The 18,947-nt window shown below is 39.0% G+C and overlaps 1 protein-coding gene across 5 annotated transcripts in view, besides 2 other annotated features; it reads left to right on the forward strand.

The window, feature by feature from the left end:
• REDIC1 (regulator of DNA class I crossover intermediates 1) overlaps window positions 1-18,947 on the forward strand; it is a 282,118-nt gene that overhangs the window by 60,239 nt on the left and 202,932 nt on the right. For 4 of the 5 annotated variants that reach the window (NR_135051.2, NM_001031748.4, XM_005268806.4 and 1 more), the window contains one exon: window positions 5,628-5,691. Coding sequence is in view for 4 of the 5 variants with exons in the window: in NM_001031748.4 (NP_001026918.2) it covers window positions 5,628-5,691 (64 nt within the window). In the remaining variant the exon portion in view is untranslated. Of the gene's footprint in view, window positions 1-5,627; window positions 5,761-18,947 lie in introns of those variants that run through there. The other variant, NM_001319247.2, reaches the window with a different exon arrangement.
• Window positions 12,506-13,007: an enhancer, noted in NCBI's record as "H3K4me1 hESC enhancer chr12:40092729-40093230 (GRCh37/hg19 assembly coordinates)". NCBI's record gives its function as "activates a minimal SCP1, AML or CMV promoter by ChIP-STARR-seq in primed H9 embryonic stem cells {active_cell/tissue: H9 hESC(primed)}" and the evidence as "EXISTENCE:reporter gene assay evidence [ECO:0000049][PMID:30033119]".
• Window positions 13,008-13,507: an enhancer, noted in NCBI's record as "H3K4me1 hESC enhancer chr12:40093231-40093730 (GRCh37/hg19 assembly coordinates)". NCBI's record gives its function as "activates a minimal SCP1, AML or CMV promoter by ChIP-STARR-seq in primed H9 embryonic stem cells {active_cell/tissue: H9 hESC(primed)}" and the evidence as "EXISTENCE:reporter gene assay evidence [ECO:0000049][PMID:30033119]".

The raw sequence follows: 18,947 nt of genomic DNA on the forward strand, positions 1-18,947 counted from the left end.
TGAAGCAGCAGACTGAGCTGTACATGGGCCCCTTTGAGCCATGGCTGGAGCTGGAGTGACTGGGATACAGGGAGCAGTGTTCTGAGGCTGCACAGAGCAGCAGGGCCCTGAGCCTGGCCCAGGAAACCATTCTTCCATCCTAGGCCTTCAGGCATGTGATAGGAGGGGCTGTCATGAAGTTCTGTGAAATGCCATTGAGACCTATTCCCCATTGCCTTGGCTATTAGCACTTAGCTCGTTTTTTACTTATGCAAATTTCTGCAGCCTGCTTGAATTCCTTCCCGGAAAATGGGCTTTTATTTTCTACCACATGGCCAGGCTGCAAATTTTCCAAACTTTTATGCTCTGCTTCTGTTTTAAATATAAGTTCCAGTTTTATATCATTTCTTTGCTCACACATATGAACATAGGTGGTTCTTATGAAGCAGCTGGTCCATATCTTCAATGCTTTGCTGCTTAGAAATTTCTTCTGCCAGATATCCTAAATTAATCACCTTCAAGTTCAGAGTTCCACAGATCCCTAGGGCAGGGGCACAGTGCTGCCAAGTTCTTTGCTAACACATAACAAAAGTGACCTTTGCTACAGATCCCAATAAGTTCCTCATTTGTATCTGAGACCTCCTCAGCCTCAACTTCACTATCAATATCACTACCAGCATTTTCAGCCTTTTTTGTTATAACCATTCCACCGCCAGTCTTTACGAAGTTCCAAACTTTCCCTTATCTTGTGTTCTTCTGAGCCTGCCACACTCTTCCAATTTCTGCCCATTACCAAGTTCCAAAATTCCTTCCACATTTTCAGGTATCTTTATATCAAAATTCCGCTCCTGGCACCAATTTTCTGTATTAGTCTGTTCTCACATTGCTATAAAAAATACTTGAGACTGGGTAATTTATAAAGAAAATAGATTAATTGGCTCACGGTTTCACATGCTGTATAGGAAGCAGGATTCTGGGGAAGAATTGGCTTCTGGGGAAGCCTCAGGAAATTAGAATTATGGTGGAAGGTGAAGCAGGTGTGTGGCATCTCAAACAGCAAAGACAGGAGCAAGAGAGAGTGAGGTGGGAGTGCCACACACTTTTAACCAACCAGATCTCATGACAGCAAACTTCACTATTGTAAGGGCAGTACCAAGGGGGATGGTGCGAAACCATTCAGGAGAAACTACTTCCCATGATTCAGTCACCTGCCACCAGGCCCCATCTCCAACACTGGGGATTATAATTCAACATGAGATTTGCCGGGGGGTACCCAAAGATCCAAACCATATCATCTTTCAACATGAAAATGCTTTAGGTTTCAATGTGCTACATAATTTTATATTTGCCATACTATTGAAATATCTATAAACACTGCTTATGTAATGTTATAATCCCTTGCCATCATAAGGGTGTAATTTTTACAACAGTGCTAGGAAGTTTATGTAGTTTATTTCTAATCTACAGGAGCCTGAGTTGCTAAAGTCTTCACAGCAAAAGAGACTGAAATGTAAAGAGATTAGATAACTTGTTTGAGGTCACACTCTCAAGCCAAGATTCAAACTGTCTGTCTTATCTGACTTGATATTTTCAGCTATACTGTTTTCCCTTTTTTCTTCAATAAATGTTTATTGAGTACATATTATGAATTCATATAAAGACACTTATTGAATGTTTCCTGTATGCTAGACACTGGGGATAAAATGGTGCTTTGTTCTCAAGATTATATTCTGTTATGCACTAGACTCTGCAAGGTACAGAGATGAAAGGACATGGAACCTGTCTTTAAGAAGTCTTCATCTAGTGGCTAGTCAGAAAGAGACAAAAATATAATGCATTTAGATAAATTGCTTGAATTAAAGTTTGTTTTGGGTTATTAGTAACAGATACTTCTAAGTTTCATCTGTAAACAGGAGGAAGATGTGATGGAGGAGGTAACTTTTGAGCACAGTATCAATAAGTTGTTTACCAAATGGTCAAATTGGGAAGAAAGAGCAACATAGATATACTAAGATGTCAGAGTACAGCCTGTTTTAGAAATTTCAAGTACCTTGTTTCATTCTAGTTATTGTTATAGCTACAATTTATAATACTAATGATAAAGGGTGCAGGAGTGGCCTAGGTAATTCTGGACAATACAAAAAGGTAGGTCATGAATGGCCTTGTATGATATATAACAGTTTAATTATTGATCATTAAACAGAGATCCACTAAACAAATTTTAGCAGAGGAATATGATGACATCGTAATAAAAAAGTTGATTCTAGCAACAATGAGGAGGGATTTGATAAGTGGAACAGCTCAAGTTAGGGGAAGAAATAATGAGAGCTTGAAGTTTTACAATAGCAGTAAGGATGAAATGAGAGAAGAGAAGATTTAGATCTAGAATTGATAGTACTTGGTGATTGGTGATTAGTTAAGGGAGAAGGAAGAAATTGAGAAAGACCTAGATTTATTTATGATTTGAGTAAATGGGTAGTTGATGGGATTGTGCTACTGAACAAGATTGAAACCATAGGAGGAGGTGGCAGGAAAAAGGTTAACTGTCCATCAAAATCCATGTACCGTTTTTTTTGTAGAATGTACCCTTTTTAATAGAATAGAGCTGCCACCATGAAATGGCTTCCCAGCCAAGGAACATGTTTCCTAACCATCCATCCATGTACATGTGGCCATATGGCTAGATCTCACTAATGAAATGTTCGGAGAAGTGATGTGCATCATTTTAGGTTAAGGCTTATAAGAAAAGGGAATTATTTTTCCATGCTGTCTTTCTTTGATGGCTAGATGGTAGTGAGGCCCCAAGGGATAATGGAGCCACAAGATGGAAAGGACTGGGTCTCTGAATCACTACATGGAGGAAAATTGCCTGCTTACCAGAAACACTCACTTTAGATTATTACACAAGAGAGAAATGATTGTGTTTGGCATTATACATTTTGTGATATACTTTTTAAAAACAATACCTAGCATCACTCTGATTCAGAGGAGGAGCAATTTCTGAGAGAGGTAAGTTTGACCCACTGAGCTCAAGTGAGGATCTTCTGAAAAACCTGTGATCTATGTGGAGATGTATAGTAGGCAATTATATATACAGGGCTTGAGGTGAGAAGAGATGTTTCAGCCTTTATGAATAGCAGATAATTGACTACATCCAAGTATATGATTCTCGAGAGAAAGTGTATAGAATAAGAACAAAAATTGTCAAATTCCTGAGAAGGCACATTTCAGGTTGGAGGGTATGAAGTAGAAGAGGAACCAGAAAAGGGGGCTGAGAATGAGCTACTAGAGAGGTTTGAGGAGTACTAGTGTCGTAGGAAAGAAAAAGGAGGAAAATGTGGTCAGTAGTGATGGAAGCTGTCCTGTTATTCCTTTAAATAATTCATATTTCCCCAAATATGAATAATATAGATGTATCCTCCCAAAAGATGAATTATCAACAGAATTTAATACTTCAAAAACAAATTCTGTTTGACCACACCTATGTCTAGAAAGCTGGCAGCTTGAATATAGCTAGAACTAGTCAAAAAAGAAAAAAGCCTATTGATGTAGCCCAAAGGGAATCAGGTGCTATGAGGAGTTCCTTGGGTAGAGCAGGTATGGGGACTTTAAATTGTGATGCCTGGCCATGGCCAAAGGTGCAGTGGAACCCTGACTAAAATTACGTTCTACCAGAGGGGCCAAGGCAAGAGTCACCAATGGGATGGAATGAAGGGGTAGGAGTAGAAAGAGGGCTGGGTTGCACCTGCCCACAGGTTAGGTAAAATTAAAACAGGTAGATTCTGCTGAGGAAGAATTGATGAAGAGACATACGGGCTAAAACAAGCAAACAGAACAAGCCTCTTGGATGGGGACATGTGGTGTTCTCAAGAGCCTTTGATGGGAGTGGGAGAGAATAGGAAAGAACAAAGTATTAGAGGAGTATAATTATTTAATTTTAAAGGTTTAGTAGAGGAATAAAGTTAAAATACAATTGTTAACATGGGAACGTATTCACCAGAGAAGTGGAGACGTGGAAGAACAAAATTCAAGAGTGATGATGTCACACTAGGAAACCGGATCAAGATGGGAAGAAATGAAATAGCAATTCTATATACAGTGTTAAAAATGAAACCCACTTAGCAATTAACATATTGAATATGATAGCAATTAACATATTGAATATGAATTAATATATTGAATATGAATTCTTTTCAAGATTCAAAGAATATCAAATTATTAAGAAAAAATCAATATAGGTTATAAGCAACGTATCTAGAATATAATAAAGGTTGAAAGCAAACAGATAGCAAAATACATACATTAAGAAAACATATATACTATTGGAGCAAAGACCATATAAATGCAATAAAAAGCCCATTCGGAAAAGAGAAAAATAGGAGATGCAGATTTTCTGATCCATAGCAAGGCTTGCCATCCTGGAGGATGGAGGACATTTGTGAATAACTTAGTGTCTTGTCCTTTAGGAAGATCTTTGCTGTCCTTCTCAAACAGATCTGAAGTAGGTATTGGAGTGCAGGCCTGCCGTGGGGTCTACATAGCTTTCTTGAAAGTTTTGTGTTCTTCTTGCAAGTTTGGGGCTTGAATGTGTCATGACTTGAAGAGAAAAGATTTTTAAATGATAAGATAGAGGGGTTAGGGAAGGGGCTCTGCTCCATGTAGTTATTCAGGCCCTAAACTGGTGGCTCCCAGTTTATTGTTACCAGAGAGAAGAAAGGAAAAGGAAGTGGAGGATTGTGGGGAAGATTTTTATGGACCAGGACCGGCAGTAGTTTACGTTACTTCTGCCTATGACCAGAACTTACGTAACATGTCTAAACCAATTCCAAGGGAGGCCGGGAAATACAGTCTAGCTGTATGTCCAAGAAAAAGGGAGTCAGGTTTGGGAAGCAGCTAGACAATTTCTCCTTTATTTTATATATCTAAAATTCTATATCCTACCAACAGAGAATGTATAGAAAAAAATTTTTATAAGCCCATGATATGTATGCAAACATAATTCATATAGTAAGCCATAAAGAAAATCTAAGACATTTATTTAAGGAGAGATTCATGGGTACATTCTCTAATCAAAATTTGATAAAATTGAAATCAACTAAAAAGAGATACTTAACTTCCCTTAACATCCTGGAAATAAAGAAACACTCAGGGTTCGTTTGCTTTGTTAGAGAAAGGAAATGAAAATAAAGTACAAATTACATAGAAAGTGATGGAAACCAAAACCAATAGTGTGTTCTGTAGAAAGTTATACCTCTAAGAGCTTTTATTATTTAAAAAACCTGATAATAAACGACTGATGATCTAACTTAGGAAATTAAATAAAGAATAACAAATTTCCAAATTGCCTTAATATGTTTGTCTTTCTTCAGCTGCATTTACTATGATTACCTGAAGCTTTTCCTTTTTCTCAGTAATTCATTTCTTGGCAAGTGTCTATTCTGTTGCTTGTTGTTTTTTAACGAATTTAAATTTCATTTTATTGTTTACCACAGGCTAATTTTTCTTTGTGGTTTAAAAATAAACCATGTTGAACTGAAGTAATGTAAAAGAAAAGTACTATAAAATGAATTGGTAGTGTAAATAAGGTAGATATAAGTGAATATTATTATGTATACTTAGGAATTGTTAACATTTTGGTTTTCTCCTAGATTCTGATGGAAGAAGGAGGAATATATTCTTTAAAAAGCAAGCGAATATCTACTAAGAAAATCTGTCAGTATAACTGTATAAGTTAATTTTACTCTATTTTAAAAACTAACAATTAAATAGAAATCAGTTAAATTTGAAGTGATTTTTTAGATGTTTGCCAACAAATATATATCATGGATATTTTAGTACTACTAATGCAATTGACTCGTTAAAATTACTTTTATATTTTATTAAATATACATGAGTACATTAATGTATAGGTACAGTTTAGCAAATAAGAATAAAACAGATAACCCTCATACTCCCTAGGTAGCTTAAGAAACAATACATAATACTTTTGAAGATTTCTTCAATTGTATTTCATATCCTGCCCTCTAGAGGTAACTATTTCCTTGAATTTGTTTTTTGTTATAACACAGACTTTTTAACTGCTTTATTTTGAACTTTCTATATATTGATCCAACTCTATATATTTTTCTGCAACTTGCTTTTTTTTTTCACCCAATATTATATTTTACAGTTCATCTGCTTTGATACTTGTAGCTCTAGTACATTTATTATTTTTCCTGCTATACAGCATTCTACTGTATGAATATATCACAATTTATGTATCTTCTAACAATGGATATTTAGGTTATTTTGAATATTTTGCTTACGTTGTTTTGAATATTTTCCTATGAAGAACAATGCTACTTGGAGTATTGTTGACATTTTTCCTTGCACACATGTATAAAAAGTTTCTCTAGGATATATTTCTAGGAGTAGAATTGCTAGTTCATATGATATGCACTTCTTTGCATCTTCAAGGTAATGCTAAATTATTTTCCTAAATGGTTATTCCAGTTGTACCCCTCTTAGCAAGGGATAACAGTCTTGGTTGTTACATGTTTTCACCAACAATATCTCAGTCTTTTATCATTATTGGTAATCTGATAGCTCATTGTAGTTCTAATTTATATTTCTCTGATTACTAATTAGGTTAATTGGCCATCAATGTTTCATTTATGAAATGTCATTTGCTCATGTTCCTTTTCTGAAGTTTGGTTTTCTTTATGGAATGTGTCTTTAATATGTCTATATCTCCTATGTATATTTTATGTGTCCTGGATACTGACTGCTTGTAGGCTTGTGTGTAGCAAATACTTCATGTTTGAGTGATCTTTTAATTCTGTACTGTCTTTTTACAGACAAAGTTTCATGTCGATCTGGTACTCTTTTAGGTATTCTATGCTAGCATAGTCCTTCATGTTATCTAGTCTGATGGAATACCTTGAAACCTTTAATGATTTAATTTTTTGAATATGTAAAATACTAGTCTGGTTTCTATCCTTATCCTCCCTGCCCTATTTCCTTCTGCAACATGAGTATTTTTTTTTTTTTCTGCTTTCTGGTTTCTCATTCCAGTCCATTTTTAAAAAAATAAATCCTAAAAATATATAAACACGTAAATACCCATGAGTCTTAGTTTCCAGCCTTTCTCATTCTAAATGTAATATAGAATATTTTATAAAAGAATTAAGTGAATTTATTTATTTAATAAAATATTCCTATAGATTCCTCTGTGTTAGTGCTAGGTATTTCTTCATCCTTATGACCATTTAGTAGTCCATTACATGCATGAACTGTAGTTTTTTCAGTCAATGCCCTATTGATGGACATTTGGGCTATTTCCAGTATATTTTTCTTACAAATACTGTAAGTGAACAATTTTGTACAATGTTTCTTATTTGTGGAGGTTCATTTTCAGGGTAATTTCTGGGAGTGGCATTGTTAAGTTAAAGGAGAAATATGCTGGTATTTGATGGATATTGCTGAATTTCAATTTTGATATATATATATTTCCAAGTTCCTTGTGTCACCATTTGGCACCAATAGCAATGTACATTTTATTCCACAGCCTCACCAACAGGGATTGTGGTCAAACTTAGGAATTTTTCTGAATCTCACAGGGGGACGGATAGATAGAAGTTTTAGTTTGCGCTTCGCTCTGTGTGAAGTTGAGCATCTTTTAAAAATGCTCATTGGCTATTTGCGATTCTTTTTCTGTGAATTCTCTATTATATCTTTTGCCCCCTTGGGTTTTGGCATTTTTTTTCTTGGTATTTAAGGGATCCTTATATATTAGAAAGATGTAGATGAGGGGTGGAACAAGATGGCTGAATAGAAGACACCCACTGCAAGCGCACCAATTTAACAACTATCTACACACAAAAAAACACCTTCCTAAGAACTGCATAAGAGCACTCATAGTACCTGGTTTTAACTTTATATCACTGAAAGAGGCACTGAACAGGTAGGAAAAACAGTCTTGAGTCACTGACGCCACCCTTCCTCCATTCCCTGGGAGTGGCGACATGGTGCGGAGAGTGATTCTGTGTACTGGGGAGAGGGACAGTCAGTGCAGCAGTTTTGAGGCATTGAACTCAGCACTATCTTGTTATAACAGAAAGCAAAATTGGACCAAACTCAGCTGATGCCTACCCATGGAGGGAATATTTAAACCAGCCCTAACCAGAGGGGAATTGCTGATCCTAGTGGTCAATACTTGAGTTTGCATAAGCCCTCCTATTATGGGCTAAAGTGCTCTGGTGCTCTAAGTAAATTTGAAAGGCAGTCTAGGCCACAAGAACTGCAACTCCTAGGTGAGTCCTAGTGCTGAACTAGGCCCAGAGACCGTGGACTGGGGGTGGCACGTGTTCTATTGAGACACCAGCTGGGGCAGCTAAGGGAGTGTGGCAATCACCCCTCCCGTAACCCAGACCACTCAGCTTGCAGCTCCAAAATAGACCCCTTCCCTCTGCTTGAGGAGAGGAGAAGGAATAGTGGGGAGGACTTTATCTTACATCCTGGATACCAGATTAGCCACAGTAAGATAGGGCACTGGTCAGAGTCATGATGCCCCCTTTCCAGGCCCTAGCTCCAAGATGACATTTCTAGACACTCCTTGGGTGAGAAGGACACCTATATCCTTGAAGGGAAGGACCCAATCCTGGCAAGATTCATCACCTGCTAACTGAGGAGCCCTGGGGCCCTGAATAACCATCAGTGATGCCCAGGGACTGCATTGAGGGCCTTGGGTGAGACTCTGATACTTGGTGGCATCAGGTGGGCCTGAGTACATTTCCAGCTGTGATGGCTATAGGACAAGACTTTTCACTTGAAAAAAGCAGAGAGAAAAGTAAAGGGGACTTTGTCTTGCACCTTAGGTACCAGCACAGTCATGGGGGTAGAATACCAAGTAGGCTCTTGGGGTCCCCAATTCCAGGACTTGGCTCTTGGATGGCATTTCTGGACCTGCCCTGGACCAGAGGGGAGCCTCCTGCCCTGAAGAGTGACTCGCAGCCTAGGCATCATTCACCACAAGCTGACTGAAGAACCCTTGGGTCTTAAGGGAACATCACTGGTACGCTGGCAGTACTCCCTGTAGGCCTGGGTTGTGATGGCCATGGGGTGAGGTTCATCTGCCTTTGGAAAGGGAAGGGTGGGAAGGACTGTGTCTTGTGGTTTGAATGTAAGCTCAGCCCCAGTAAAATAGAATACCAGGTAGACTGCTAAGGTTTTTTATTGTAGTCCCTGACTCCCAGTTCTGAGACAGCACTTCTGGATCCACCTGGGGCCTGGGGGAACTTGACACCCTGAAGGGAAGGACACAGGCCTGGCTAGCTTTGCCACCTGCTGATTGCAGAGCCCTAGGGCCTTGAGAAAGCATAGGCAGTAGCCAGGTAGTGGTTACAGTGGACTTTGGTTAAGACCCAGTGCTGTGCTGTTTAACATCTGACCAAGCACAATCCTGATGGTCATGGCCATGGGGATGCTATGTCCCTCCACCCTTAGCTTCAGATGGCTGAGAACAGAGAGAGAGACTGTTCATTTGGAAGAAAGTAAGGGCAGTGACAAGAGTCTCTGCTTGGTAATTCAGAACATTTTCCCAGATGTTGTCTAAGACAATCAAGGCAGTATGTCTACAAGTCTGCAAGAACCACAGCATTACTGGGCCTGGGGTGCCCCTATAGCAGATACAGCTTAGGTCTCAACACCCAAGTCCTTTTTGTATTCCTGGAAAGCATTCCCAAGATGGATGAGAACAAGCCCAGACTGTGAAGACTGCAATAAATAGCTAACTCTTCAGTGCCCAGGTACAAACAAACATCTACAAGCAGCAAGACCATCCAGGAAAGTGACTTCACCAGATGAACTAAATAACGCACCAAGGGCCGGGCGCGGTGGCTCACGCCTGTAATCCCAGCACTTTGGGAGGCCGAGGCGGGCGGATCACGAGGTCAGGAGATCGAGACCATCCCGGCTAAAACGGTGAAACCCCGTCTCTACTAAAAATACAAAAAATTAGCCGGGCGTAGTGGCGGGCGCCTGTAGTCCCAGCTACTTGGGAGACTGAGGCAGGAGAATGGCGTGAACCCGGGAGGCGGAGCTTGCAGTGAGCCGAGATCCCGCCACTGCACTCCAGCCTGGGCGACAGAGCGAGACTCTGTCTCAAAAAAAAAAAAAAAAAAAAAAAAAAAAAAAAAAAAAATAACGCACCAAGGACCAACCCTGAAGAAATGGACATATGTGACCTTTCAGACACAGTATTCAAAATAGCTGTTTTGAGGAAAGTGAAATTCAAGATAACAAAGAGAAGGAATTCAGAAGTATATCAGACAAATTTAACAAAGAGATTGAAATAATTAAAAAGAATCAAGCACAAATTCTAGAGCTGAAAAATGCAATTGACATATTGAAGAATGCATTAGAATCTTAACAGCAGAACTGATCAAGCAGCACAAAGAATTAGTGAGCTTGAAAGCAGACAATTTGAAAATACACAGTCAGAGGAGACAAAAGAAAAAATAAAAAAGAATGAAGTATGCCTACAGGATCTAGAAAATAGCCTCAAGAGGGCAAATCTAAGAGTGGTTATTGGCCTTTTACCTCCCAAGAGAAACATATCAATATCCAAGTATAAGAAGGTTATAGAACACCTAGCAGATTTAACCCAAAGAAGACTACCTCAAGGCATTTAATAAACTCCTAAAGATCAAGAATAAAGAAAGGATGCTAAAAGCGGCAAGAGAAAAGAAACAAGTAACATACAATGGAGCTGCAATACGTCTGGGAGCAGACTTTGCAGTGGAAGCCTTACAAGCCGAGAGAGTGGCATGACATATTTAAAGTGCTGAAGGAAGAAACCTTTTACCCTAAAATAGTATATCCAGCAAAAATCTCCCTCAAACATGAAGTAGAAATAAAGACTTCCTAGACAAACAAAAGCTGAGGGATTATCAACACCAGACCTGTTCTGCAAGAAAATACTAAAAGGAGTACTTCAGTCAGAAAGCAAATAAAGTTAATGAGCAAGAAGAAATCATCTGAAGGTACAAAACTCACTGATAATAATAAGTACACAGAAAAACGAAATATAACACTGTAAATGTGTGTAAACTACTCATATCTGAAGTAGAAACACTAAATGATGAACTAGTCAAAAATAATAACTATATCAGCTTTTCAAGCCATAGAGTATAAAAGATATATATAGAAACAACAGAGAGTTAAAAAGCAAGGGAATGAAGTTAAGGGGTAGAGTTTTTATTAGTTTTCTTTGCTCATTTTTTTATGCAAACAATTAAGTTGTTATCAGCTTAAAATCATGAGTTCTAAGATTGTATTTCCAAGCCTTATGAAAAACTCAAACCCAAATCATACAACAGATACACAAAAAATAAAAAGTAAGAAAATAAATTATGTCACCAGAGAAAATCAGCTTTACTAAAAGGAAGACAAGAAGGAAGGAAAGACGAAATGACCACAAAACGGCCAAAAAACAGATAACAAAATAGCAGCAGTAAGTCTTTACTTATCAATAATGACTTTGACTGTCAATGGATTAAGCTCTCCAATCAAAAGATATAGAGTGGCTGAATGGATAAAAAATAAAACCCAATGATCTGTTGCCTATAAGAAACACATTTCACCTATAAAGACACAAATAGACAGAAAATAAAGGGATGGAAAAAGATATTCCAAGCCAATAGAAACCAAAAAAGAGCAAGAGTAGCTACACGTATATTAGACAAATTTCAAGACAAAAATTATAAGAGACAAAAGAAGGTCATTATAATTCCTGATGCAACCTAATGAAACTTAATCCCTAATGCAACAATGTTAAGAGATGAGACCATTAAAGAGGTAGTTAGGCCATGAGTGCTCCATCCTCATGAAGGGGGTCAATTCAGAAAGAGGATATAACAATTTTAAATATATATGCACCCAACACTGAAGCACCCAGATACATAAAGCAAATATTATTAGAGTGAAAGAGGAAGAGACACACTCCCAATACGATAATAGTTGGAGACTTCAACATTCCTCTTTTCAGCATTAGACAGATCTTCCAGAAAGAACACTGATGAAAAACCAGACTTCATCTGTACTATAGATCAAATGGACCTAAAAGATATTTACAGAACATTTCATCCAGTAGCTACAGAATAGACATTCTTTTCCTCAGCACATGGATCATTCTCAAAGATAGACATACGTTAGGCAACAAAACAAGTCTTAAAACATTTTTAAAAATTGAAATGATATCAAATATCTTTTCTAACTACAATGGAATAAAACTAGAAATAATGAGGAATTTTGGGAACTATACAAATACATGAAAATTAAACAGTATGCACCTGAATGACCAGTGGGTCAATGAAGAAATTAAGAATGAAATTGAAAAATTCCTTGAAACAAATGATAATTGAAACACAATATACCAAAACCTGTGGGATACAGCAAAAGCAGTACTAAGAGGGAAGTTCGTAGCTCTAAAAGTCTACATCAAAAAAGAAGAAAAACCACAAATAAACACCTTAGCTATATATCTTAAAGAACTAGAACGGCAAGAACAAACCAAACCCAAAATTAGTAGCAGAAAATAAATAATAAGGACTAGAGCAGAAATAAATGACATTGAAATGAAGCAAACAGTACAAAGTATCAATGAAAAAAAGTTGGTTTTTGAAAAATTAAACAAAATTGACAAACATTTATCTAGACTAAGAAAAAAAGAAGATGTAAATAAATAAAATCAGAGGCCCAGCGTGAGCGACACAGAAGACGGGTGATTTCTGCATTTCCATCTGAGGTATTGGGTTCATCTCACTAGGGAGTGCCAGACAGTGGGCGCAGGTCAGTGGGTGTGCGCACCATGCATGAGCCGAAGCTGGGCGAGGCATTGCCTCACTCGGGAAGCGAAAGGGGTCAGGGAGTTCCCTTTCCTAGTCAAAGAAAGGGGTGACAGACGGCACCTGGAAGATCGGGTCACTCCCATCCGAATACTGCGCTTTTCCGACGGGCTTAAAAAATGGCACACCAGGAGATTATATCCCGCACATGGCTCAGAGGGTCCTACGCCCAGGGAGTCTCTCTGATTGCTAGCACAGCAGTCTGAGATCAAACTGGAAGGCGGCAGCAAGGCTGGGGGAGGGGCGCCCGCCATTGCCCAGGCTTGCTTAGGTAAACAAAGCAACTGGGAAGCTCGAACTGGGTGGAGCCCACCACAGCTCAAGGAGGCCTGCCTGCCTCTGTAGGCTCCACCTCTGGGGGCAGGGCACAAACAAAAAGCAGTAACCTCTGCAGACTTAAATGTCCCTGTCTGACAGCTTTGAAGAGAGCAGTGGTTCTCCCAGCACGCAGCTAGAGATCTGAGAACAGGCAGAATGCCTCCTCAAGTGGGTCCCTGACCCCTGACCCCCGAGCAGCCTAACTGGGAGGCACCCCCAAGCAGTGGTAGACTGACACCTCACACAGCCGGGTATGCCAACAGATCCGCAGCTGAGGGTCCTGTCTGTTAGAAGGAAAACTAACAGAAAGGACATCCACACCAAAAACCCATCTGTACATCACCATCATCAAAGACCAAAAGTAGATAAAACCACAAAGATGGGGAAAAAACAGAGCAGAAAAACTGGAAACTCTAAAAAGCAGAGCGCCTCTCCTCCTCCAAAGGAACGCAGTTCCTCACCAGCAACGGAACAAAGCTGGACGGAGAATGACTTTGACGAGCTGAGAGAAGAAGGCTTCAGACAATCAAATTACTCCGAGCTATGGGAGGACATTCAAACCAAAGGCAAAGAAGTTGAAAACTTTGAAAAAAAACTTAGAAGAATGTATAACTAGAATAACCAATACAGAGAAGTGCTTAAAGGAGCTGATGGAGCTGAAAACCAAGGCTCGAGAACTACTTGGAGAATGCAGAAGCCTCAGGAGCCGATGCGATCAACTGGAAGAAAGGGTATCAGCGATGGAAGATGAAATGAAATGAAGCGAGAAGGGAAGTTTAGAGAAAAAAGAATAAAAAGCAACGAGCAAAGCCTCCAAGAAATATGGGACTATGTGAAAAGACCAAATCTACATCTGATTGGTGTACCTGAAAGTGATGGGGAGAATGGAACCAAGTTGGAAAACACTCCGCAGGATATTATCCAGCAGAACTTCCCAATCTAGCAAGGCAGGCCAACATTCAGATTCAGGAAACAGAGATAATGCCACAAAAGATACTCCTCAAGAAGAGCAACACCAAGACACATAATTGTCAGATTCACCAAAGTTGAAATGAAGGAAAAAATGTTAAGGGCAGCCAGAGAGAAAGGTCGGGTTACCCTCAAAGGGAAGCCCATCAGACTAACAGTGGATCTCTCAGCAGAAACTCTACAAGCCAGAAGAGAGTGGGGGCCAATATTCAACATTCTTAAAGAAAAGAATTTTCAACCCAGAATTTCATATCCAGCCAAACTAAGCTTCATAAGTGAAGGAGAAATCAAATCCTTTACAGACAAGCAAATGCTGAGAGATTTTGTCACCACCAGGCCTGCCCTAAAGGAGCTCCTGAAGGAAGCACTAAACATGGAAAGGAACAACCGGTACCAGCCACTGCAAAATCATGCCAAAATGTAAAGACCATCGAGACTAGGAAGAAACTGCATCAACTAACGAGCAAAATCACCAGCTAACATCATAATGACAGGATCAAATTCACACATAACAATATTAACTTTAAATGTAAATGGACTAAATGCTCCAATTAAAAGACACAGATTGGCAAATTGGATAAAGAGTCAAGACCCATCAGTGTGCTGTATTCAGGAATCCCATACCACGTGCGGAGACACACATAGGCTCAAAATAAAAGGATGGAGGAAGATCTACCAAGCAAATGGAAAACAAAAAAAGGCAGGGGTTGCAATCCTGGTCTCTGGTAAAACAGACTTTAAATCAACAGAGATCAAAAGAGACAAAGAAGGCCATTACATAATGGTAAAGGGATCAATTCAACAAGAAGAGCTAACTATCCTAAATATATATGCACCCAATACAGGAGCACCCAGATTCATAAAGCAAGATTCCTGAGTGACCTACAAAGAGACGTAGACTCCCACACATTAATAATGGGAGACTTTAACACCCCACTGTCAACATTAGACAGATCAATGAGACAGAAGGTCAGCAAGGATACCCAGGAATTGAACTCAGCTCTGCACCAAGCAGACCTAATAGACATCTACAGAACTCTCCACCCCAAATCAACACAATATACATTTTTTTCAGCACCACATGACACCTATTCCAAAATTGACCACATACTTGGAAGTAAAGCACTCCTCAGCAAATGTAAAAGAACAGAAACTATAACAAATGGTCTCTCAGACCACAGTGCAATCAAACTAGAACTCAGGATTAAGAATCTCACTCAAAACCGCTCAACTACATGGAAACTGAACAACCTGCTCCTGAATGACTACTGGGTACATAACGAAATGAAGGCAGAAATAAAGATGTTCTTTGAAACCAACGAGAACAAAGACACAACATACCAGAATCTCTGGGACACATTTAAAGCAGTGTGTAGGGGGAAATTTCTAGCACTAAATGCCCACAAGAGAAAGCAGGAAAGATCCAAAATTGACACCCTAACATCACAATTAAAAGAACTAGAAAAGCAAGAGCAAACACATTCAAAAGCTAGCGGAAGGCAAGAAATAACTAAAATCAGAGCAGAACTGAAGGAAATAGAGACACAAAAAACCCTTCAAAAAATTAATGAATTTGGGAGCTGGTTTTTTGAAAGGATCAACAAAATTGGTAGACCTAGCAAGACTAATAAAAAAAGAGAGAGGAATCAAATAGACGCAATAAAAAATGATAAAGGGGATATCACCACCGATCCCACAGAAATACAAACTACCATCAGAGAATACTACAAACACCTCTACCCAAGTAAACTAGAAAATCTAGAAGAAATGGATAAATTACTCAACACATACACCCTCCCAAGACTAAACCAGGAAGAAGTTGAATCCCTGAATAGGCCAATAACAGGATCTGAAATTGTGGCAATAATCAATAGCTTACCAACCAAAAAGAGTCCAGGACCAGATGGATTCACAGCTGAATTCTACCAGAGGTACAAGGAGGAACTGGTACCATTCCTTCTGAAACTATTCCAATCAATAGGAAAAGAGGGAATCCTCCCTAACTCATTTTATGAGGCCAGCATCATCCTGATACCAAAGCCGGGCAGAGACACAACCAAAAAAGAGAATTTTAGACCAATATCCTTGATGAACATTGATGCAAAAATCCTCAATAAAATACTGGCAAACCAAATCCAGCAGCACATGAAAAAGCTTATCCACCATGATGAAGTGGACTTCATCCCTGGGATGCAAGGCTGGTTCAATATACGCAAATCAATAAATGTAATCCAGCATGTAAACAGAACCAAAGACAAAAACCACATGATTATCTCAATAGATGCAGAAAAGTCCTTTGACACAATTCAACAACCTTCATGCTAAAAACTCTCAATAAATTAGGTATTGATGGGATGTATTTCAAAATAATAAGAGCTATCTATGACAAACCCACAGCCAGTATCATACTGAATGGGCAAAAACTGGAAGCATTCCCTTTGAAACCTGGCACAAGACAGGGATGCCCTCTCTCACCACTCCTATTCAACATAGTGTTGGAAGTTCTGGCCAGGGCAATTAGGCAGGAGAAGAAAATAAAGGGGATTATATTAGGAAAAGAGGAAGCCAAATTGTCCCTGTTTGCAGATGACATGACTGCATATATAGACAACCCCATTGTCTCAGCCCAAAATCTCCTTAAGCTGATAAGCAACTTCAGCAAAGTCTCAGGATACAAAATCAATGTACAAAAATCACAAGCATTCTTATACACCAACAACAGACAAACAGAGAGCCAAATCATGAGTGAACTCCCATTCACAATTGCTTCCAAGAGAATAAAATACCTAGGAATCCAACTTACAAGGGATGTGAAGGACCTCTTCAAGGTGAACTACAAACCACTGCTCAAGGAAATAAAAGAGGATACAAACAAATGGAAGAACATTCCATGCTCATGGGTAGGAAGAATCAATATCGTGAAAATGGCCATACTGCCCAAGGTAATTTACAGATTCAATGCCATCCCCATCAAGCTACCAATGACTTTCTTCACAGAATTGGAAAAAACTAAAGTTCATATGCAACCAAAAAAGATCCCTCATTGCCAAGTCAATCCTAAGCCAAAAGAACAAAGCTGGAGGAATCACACTACCTGACTTCAAACTATACTACAAGGCTACAGTCACCAAGACAGCATGGTACTGGTACCAAAAGAGAGATATAGATTAGTGGAACAGAACAGAGCCCTCAGTAATAACGCCACATATCTACAACTATCTGATCTTTGACAAGCCTGACAAAAGCAATGGGGAAAGGATTCCCTATTTAATAAATGGTGCTGGGAAAACTGGCTAGCCATATGTAGAAAGCTGAAACTGGATCCCTTCCTTACACCTCATACAAAAATCAATTCAAGATGGATTAAAGACTTAAACGTTAGACCTAAAACCATAAAAACCCTAGAAGAAAGCCTAGGCATTACCATTCAGGACATAGGCATGGGCAAGGTCATGTCTAAAACACCAAAAGCAATGGCAACAAAAGCCAAAATTGACAAATGCGATCTAATTAAAGTAAAGAGCTTCTGCACAGCAAAAGAAACTACCATCAGAGTGAACAGGCAACCTACAAAATGGGAGAAAATTTTCGCATCCTACTCATCTGACAAAGGGCTAATATCCAGAATCTACAATGAACTCCAACAAATTTACAAGAAAAAAAAACAACCCCATCAAAAAGTGGGCAAAGGATATGAACAGACACTTCTCAAAAGAAGACATTTATGCAGCCAAAAAACACATGAAAAAATGCTCACCATCACTGGCCATCAGAGAAATGCAAATCAAAACCACAATGAGATACCATCTCACGCCAGTTAGAATGGCAATCATTAAAAAGTCAGGAAACAACAGGTGCTGGAGAGGATGTGGAGAAATAGGAACACTTTTACACTGTTGGTGGGACTGTAAACTAGTTCAACCATTGTAGAAGGCAGTGTGGCGATTCCTCAGGGATCTAGAACTAGAAATACCATTTGACCCAGCCATCCCATTACTGGGTATATACCCAAAGGACTATAAATCATGCTGCTATAAAGACACATGCACACGTATGTTTATTGCGGCATTATTTACAATAGCAAAGACTTGGAACCAACCCAAATGTCCAACAATGATAGACTAGATTAAGAAAATGTGGCACATATAGAGCATGGAATACTATGCAGCCATAAAAAAGGATGAGTTCATGGCCTTTGTAGGGACATGGATGAAATTGGAAATCATCATTCTCAGTAAACTATCCCAAGAACAAAAAACCAAACACCGCATATTCTCACTCATAGGTGGGAATTGAACAATGAGAACACATGGACACAGGAAGGGGAACATCACACTCTGGGGACTGTTGTGGCGTGGGGGGAGGGAGGAGGGATGGCATTGGGAGATATACCTAATGCTAGATGACGAGTTAGTGGGTGCAGTGCACCAACATGGCACATGTATACATATGTAACTAACCTGCACAATGTGCACATGTACCCTAAAACTTAAAGTATAATAATAATAAATAAAATTAAATTAAAAAAATAAATAAATAAAATCAGAGATGAAAAAGGAACATAATAGCTTATAACAGGAATTCAAAGGATCATTCGTGGGTGCTATGAATGACTACATGCCAATAAGTTGGAAAATCTAGAAGAAAAGGACAAATTCCTAGACACACACAATTTACCAAGATTGAACCATGAAGAAATCCAAAACCTGAACAGTCCAATAACGAGTAACTAGATTGAAGTTGTAATAAAAAGTCTCCCAGGAAATAAAGCCTGGGACTTGAAGGCTTCACTGCTGA

This window comes from Homo sapiens, chromosome 12, assembly GCF_000001405.40.
Source record: "Homo sapiens chromosome 12, GRCh38.p14 Primary Assembly".
In the NCBI taxonomy this organism is placed as follows: Eukaryota; Metazoa; Chordata; class Mammalia; order Primates; family Hominidae; genus Homo; species Homo sapiens.